General features: G+C 41.5%; 1 annotated feature.

The window, feature by feature from the left end:
- Positions 1,858–3,057: an enhancer, noted in NCBI's record as "MED14-independent group 3 enhancer chr2:12956433-12957632 (GRCh37/hg19 assembly coordinates)". NCBI's record gives its function as "activates an origin of replication core promoter dependent on BRD2, BRD4, P300/CBP and CDK7 cofactors, and independent of MED14, by STARR-seq in HCT116 cells {active_cell/tissue: HCT116}" and the evidence as "EXISTENCE:reporter gene assay evidence [ECO:0000049][PMID:35650434]".

Here is a 7,208-nt window from a genome sequence, read left to right as displayed (position 1 = left end):
ATAAATCCTCTCTGGCAAGCTCGCCACATTCAAGCTGAAGCAGGAAGCCCCAGTCATCATTGCATTATGCAATCCTGTGTCCGGCCAATAATTGCCTATCTGACATGCTAGCCTCCCACATTCCTGAGATTCATCTAGAACAGCCAGATTAGATTAGTGTGTATTTTCAGCTAGCCGACATCACCCTTAGCTGATGTGTCTCCTTTTGTCAGCCAAGGCTCTCCTGTTTTGCTCTACCCTATCCAATTTGTCCATACCCAGAGCAGCAAGTTCTTCCTATGGAAAGAAGGAAAGACAGATCTTTAGAGAGGACAGGCTTTATCCCAAGCCCCTATTACCAAAAAGTGTGGTATGGTGAAACTCCATGGTCAAGAAGCAACTGAAGGCAGTAAGAAAAATCTGGGTGACCAATTCGTCATTCCAGCTTAAGAATACACAACTGACATCATGTAGTACAAAGAACACAAGTGAAAGTTTAGAAAAATGAGGCTTGAGCCCTGTGTCAGCCACCCACTTGCTGTGTGATTCGAGATGTTTCTTCACTTTTCTAAGCCTCAGTCTCTTCATCCTTAAGTTAGACACAATAATAGATACTTCATCGGGTTATTGAAATGATCAAATGAGATGATGTGACCCTTGGACCATATTTTCCCATCAATAAATGCTATTGATGTGTGCTGGATATTTGTCAAGCATTGCCTCAATGTTTGTGTTTCCAGTCCTGTGTTCTGTGATAGCGTTTAGCGTAGTGTGCTGTAACTGTGTATGCACGCTCTTCTAACATAGTAGCAGTGCGTGCCTTCATCCGGAGCCTACCAGAGGGTATGAAAATCAGGCAATCAGGCATTTGCATTGAATATCGAAGAAAAAGAAAAAAGAAGAGAGGGCGAATTAAACAAGGAGAAAGGAAGGAAGGAAGAAAGGGAAGGAGAGAGGGAGGGAGGGACGGAGGCTGGGAGGGAAGGAGGGAGGGAGGACGGAGGGAGAAGGGAAGGAAGGAAGGAAAACCCATGATTAAGCAGTCAGCCAAACTAGGGTTAGAGTAAATGGATTAACCTTCAACACTTGATTCTCCCCTACTCTCTATAGACCACACTACTCTAACCAGCTGAGCTTCCTCACTGAACAGCATCTGCCATTCTATTTCTGTCACCATGCTTTTATTCATGTGGCCCCCATGCCTGGGATATTCTCCATCCTCATCACTAGCTCTTCCAAAGTTCCTCATCTTACAATAGTTGGCACTGTGGCTTCTTTGGGGGAGCCCCTCTTGACTACTCTAGGCCACACAATGACTAATTTCAATGATTCCACTTTTTAGTCTATTTCATGGCCGAATCATCTCTGCCCAGGACGTTATTCTGTAAGTCCTACTACTAGAGTTCTGAGAAGAATGTTCTTGGCATGACCTATACTCTTCAGTCTTGGGAGGCTGGAGTCCTTGTCTGGCCAGTGGTTCATAGAACTGGGCCTCAAATACGTGTTAAGTCATCCAGATGTTTATACAGAGGAGATAGATTTTTCTGTCAATGGAATCAACAGTTAACACCCGCACTGAGACACCATGTTGCAAGATGCACCTCTAGTGAAGACAGAGAATTGTAAGTGCTTCCTGGACTTCAGATTGGGTTACCCAGCACTGGCCTTGCCTCAGGCCCTGCCTTAGGAAATAGCATTTCTGCCTCAGCCCTGTGTGTAAGGAGGGTAGAACTGCTGTAACTAAGTACCACAAATCGGATAGCTTCAAACAACAAAAATCTAGTCTCTTACAGTTCTGGAGGCCGGAAGTCTAAAATCATGGTATCCATGGACCATGCTCCCTCTGAAACCTGTGGGGGATCCTTCCTCACCTCTTCCTAGATTCTGGTGGTTTGCTGGAAACGTCTGGCATCCCTTGGCTTTTAGCTGCATCATGCTCGTCCTCCAGTACTCACGTGGCATTCTCCCTGTGTGTCTCTAACATGGATGTCTTCACATGGACGTTTTCTTATGAAGACAGCAGTCATATTGGGTACAGAGCCTGTCCTACTATGACATGAACTCGTGAACTAATTATACCTGCAACAACCCTATTTCTAAATAAGATCACATTTGGAGGTACTGGGAGTTAGGGCTTCGATATATCTTTTTGAAAGGGAACACAATTCAATCTGTAACTCACTGAATTGTACACCAAAGCCAAGAAGGCCAAGAGGTAAGGAAACAAACATCAGAACCACAAGAGAGGAACAGAGGGTGGAGTGACTTCAGAGAGGCCAAGAAGTTACTGTCAATGGTTTTTAGGACTCATTTTGATTGGTCTCCTGCTGAGTGGTGAGGCCTGATTCAAGGGCACAGAAAGAGAGCACCAGTGAAGTGTCTTGTAATAAACAAATGCCTGTTGAAGGCCGTCTTTGAGCTACACACTGTGACCACAGTGACCTGGCAGTGTAAAGTGTGTGTTTAATGCCTCAGAGCCTCACAGAATAAGGTGAGGGGAGAATAGTGGAAGGAGAGATGACTATCAACTCTCATTAGCCCTGTGGGAGGTGAAAACTAGAAAGATTGTCTCGTATGAGTAATAAATATGGAAAATTGAATGAAGTCAACCTCTCTATAAAAATAATTTATTAATTACCCTGCCTTTAGAGTCTCACTTTACTGAGTCCTACAATTTGCAAATTAACTATTGGCCCAACTTGGCCTATTGAAGGGATAATGAGTATTAAAGAGAACCTGGTCTCTGAAGTTCGTGGATGAATCATGATGATTATCAGTGACTCACAACCCTTGCATCTTCAAAAGGCTTCCCCTGATGCACCAGTGGAGGACTCAGTCCTCAGCTTTTGAAGTGGAGTTTGGCAGTAAAGGTGGGACTTGGGGCTCCTGGTGGGGCCACCAAGGGAGAAGGTCTTGAGGAATGTGGGTGGGAGGAGCATGGCATCCACAGCTTCAGCTCCTGCATTTGATATTTATTAGGGACAACTTGATGAAGGGCACTCTGGGAATGTTCTTCTAGGACCAAGAAGAGAAACACTTGATGGCCTTTAAAATATGTGCCTTTAACTGCCTTCCCTGAGGCCAGGTGGCTGTGCCAGGGTTTAGCAGCACTTTGATCCCACTTCTGTGTTCAGAGTCCTCAGAGCTCTGGTTCAGGGTCATCAAATTCATTCCAAAAGTGACGTATTCCATAAATGAGGAATTAGTTGTCAGTAACTAGGTCATTGACAATGAGTTATTGAGTGTCTTGAGAACTGCAGCTAGCAGATGAAAACATTAACAGAATTCCTTTTCCTTCCTCTAATAAAGACCACTGATATCAGGGGACACAGGGTGAGGGATCCCTGGAGGTAAAAGAAGAAATTGTCCTAAAAAATGTATAACTAGCAAATGCAACTAAAACCCACATCAATGGATGTGAGCACAAGAGAACTGCTTTTTGGTTATCAGGGGCACAGTTTGGCAACACAATAACAACAGTTACCATTTACTGAGCACCCAGGATGTCTCAGTTTCTTACCAGATATTTTGCAGATTCAACTCTGAAAGGCTGATATTATTATCTTCAAAGTTTACTTGTTTTAAACATGAAGATCCTGGGCTTACATTGGCGACATAACTTTCTCCAAGTCACACTCAATACAATTGCCAGAGCTGTGATATGAAACCACCTCTATGTCACCCCTAAGCTCTGTAGTCTGAGGGAGGAGGAATTACTTTGAGTTCTACTTGATATGAATTTGAATAGGTCTTCCCCACAGAGCAAGTTCTCAGCATGTATTTATTGAAAATTGAATGATCCACTTTGCAGCCAGGTAACAGTGCTGAGCCATTTCTGGTGGGATGACAGAAGGGATACATGCCCACCTGCTTCCAAGAGCAACTTTATGCCCCAGAGCACATGCCAGAGCTGCTCTTGACACGTTTCAAGAGGTTTTGCAGGTCCAGGACACTGCTGTGCTATAAATCAGCAACTGGTTTACCCTTTCCAACAATGATTGCTGAATTTGAAGCTCAAATGTATATAATTATCATCCTTAATACATGGGCTTTGCACTCCTACAAGGTTTTCCATCTTCAAAGTGTCTTATGAACATTAACTAATTAATCTAGGCTGCACATTGTGCCAAGGCCCAGAGGGCTTAAACTGCTCAGATCTGGGATGGTCCCTGTTGATGGTAATTACACGGAACACATTGGGTACTCTTTCACTTAATATATATTGGTGCAGTGTGTCATCACAATGCCATCATCCCCACTACAGACATTGCCCAGTGGCTGGCCCTATGGGTTAGGCCTATACTTGGGGCTACAAAGAAACAAAAGCCAGAGGCCCTTGTCCAAGCAAATGATGCACTGGTAGCTAGCAAACGCATAGTGCTTTACAATAAGAAATAAGGCTTCCGGACTGGCAAGGTGGCTCATGCCTGTAATCCCAGCACTTTGGGAGGCTGAGGCATGCGGATCACCTGAGGTCAGGAGTTTGAGAACAGCCTGACCAACATGGAGAAACCCTGTCTCTACTAAAAATACAAAATTAACTGGGCGTGGTGGTGCATGCCTGTAATCCCAGCTACTCGGGAGGCTGAGACAGGAGAATCACTTGAACCCAAGAGGCAGAGGTTACGGTGAGCCAAGATCGTGCCATTGCACTCCAGCCTGGGCAACAAGAACGAAACTCTCCGTTTCAAAAATAAATAAATAAATAAATAATAATTTAAAAAAAATAAGGCTTCCCATGAATTTATTTGTTCAAATAGGTCTGTTTTCTTTCTTTTCTTTTCTTTTTTTTTTTTTTTTTTTGAGACGAAGTCTCGCTCTTGTTCCCCAGGCTGGAGTGCAATGGAGCCATCTCGGCTCACTGCAACTTCCGCCTCCCAGGTTCAAGCGATTCTCCTGCCTCAGCCTCTCGAGTAGCTGGGATTACAGGCACCTGCCACCAAGCCCGGCTAATTTTTGTATTTTTAGTAGAGATGGGGTTTCACCATGTTGGCCAGGCTGGTCTCGAACTCCTGACCTCAGGTGGTCCGCCCACCTCGGCCTCCTAAAGTGTTGGGATTACAGGCATGAGCCACCGCGCCCAGCCCATTGGTCTGTTTTCTATCACTGCAGATTAGTTTGCATTTTCTAGGACATAATAAAAATGGATTCATATACAGTCATGTGCTGTATAATAATGTTTTAGTGAAGGATGGACTGCATGTAAGACGGTGGTCCCATCAAATTATACTGCTGTGCTTTTTTTACTGTGTCTTTTCTATGTTTAGATACACAAATACAGTGAGGCATTGCTTAAAAATGGGGATATGTTCTGAGAATTGCTTCCTTGAGTAGACATTATAGTGTACTTACACAAACCTAGATGATATAGCCTACTACACACCTAGGCTAACTGGTATGGCCTATTGCTCCTAAGACTACAAATTTGTGAGGCATGTTGTACTGAATACTGTAGGCAACTGTAACACAATGGTAAGTATTTATGTATCTAAACATAGAAAAGGCCCAGTAAAAATATGGCATAGAAGATAAAAAAGGGTACACGTGTATAGGGCACTTACCATGAATGGAGCTTGTGGCCTGGAAGTTGCTGTGTCAGTAAGTGGTGAGCAAATGAGAAGGCCTAGGACATTACTGAACTACTCTAGACTTTATAAACACAGTACAGTTTAGGCTACATAACATTTATAAAATGTATTTTTCCTTCTTCAATTATGAATTCACTTTAGTTTAATGTAACTTGTTTATAAATTTTCAATTTTTTTAACTTTTTGACTCTTTTGTAATAACACTTAGCTTAAGACACAAACATATAGTACAGCTGTTCAAAGTATTTTCTTTATATTCTTATTCTAAACACATTTTTCTATTTTTAAATGCTTTTATTTTTTATTGTTTTACTTTTTAAACTTTTTTGTTGAAAACAAAGACACAAACCCAATTAGTCTAGGCTTACCCAGGGTCATGATCATCAATATCACTGTCTTCAACCTCCACATCTTGTCCACCTGGGAGGTCTTCCAGGGAAAACACACCACACATGGAGCTGTCATCTCCTATGTGAACAATGCCTTCTTCCAGATACTGCCTCTAGGACCTGACTGAGGCTGTTTCACAGTTAACTTTGTAAAATATACAAGTAGAAGGAGTATACTCTAAAACAGTGATAAAACCAGTAACATAGTCATTAATTATCAAGTATTATGTATTGTACATAATTATGTTATATTTTTATATAACTAGCAGCACAGTGGATTTGTTCACACCAGCATCACCACAAACATGTGAACAATGCATTGCACTCACACATTAGGAAGGCACTAGGTGATAGGAATTTCTCAGCTCCATATAATCTTGCGGGACAACTGTCGTACATGTAGTCCATCATCGACTGAAACGTTGTTATCCGGTGCATGACTATAGTATGTTTATCTGGCTTCTTTCACCAGGTGTAATTATTTTGAGATTCATCTGTGTGGTTGTGTTCATTCCTTGTTACCACTAAATAGTATTACATCTTATGGATATAGCACTATTTGTTTATCCATTCACTTCTTGATAAACCTTCAGGTTGTTTCCAGTGTTTGTCTATTGCAACTAATGTTGTGATTAATGTTTGTATTTTGTATAAATCTTTGCATGGACATATGCTTTCATTTTTCTTGGGAAAATACCTAGGAGTAAAATGGCTGGGACATATGGTGAGTGAATGTTTATTTCAGAAAGAGTCAGTGGGAGTCCTAGAGTATACAAACCACTTTACATTCTCACAGGCAGTATATGAAAGTTCTAGTTGTTCCACAGCTTTGCCAGTACTTGGTATAGTCAGTCATTTTAATTTTTAGACATTCTTATGAATGCATAGTAGTAGCTTGTGATTTTAATTTGCATTTCCTTAATAACTAAAGATGTTGAGCATTTTTGAGATGCTTATTTGCCATCCAAATATGTTGAACATACATAAATGATCAAACTCTTACCATTTTAAATTGGGTTGTCTTTTTGTTATCGAGTTTTGAGATATATACAGGTGTTTGTGTGTGTGTGTTATTGTATATCACTCTCAGATATGTGATTTGCAAATATTATCTCCCAGTCTATAGTTTTTTATTATGTTAATACTGTCTTTCATTTGTGTGTGCAATTTATTAGGTTTTGTGCAATTCATTTGTTTTGTGCAAGTACACTCTGATGTTCACACAAGGATGAAATTACCTAAAGATGCATTT

Source organism: Homo sapiens, chromosome 2 (genome assembly GCF_000001405.40).
Source record: "Homo sapiens chromosome 2, GRCh38.p14 Primary Assembly".
In the NCBI taxonomy this organism is placed as follows: domain Eukaryota; kingdom Metazoa; phylum Chordata; class Mammalia; order Primates; family Hominidae; genus Homo; species Homo sapiens.
This window is presented reverse-complemented; position numbering and strand designations above follow the sequence as displayed.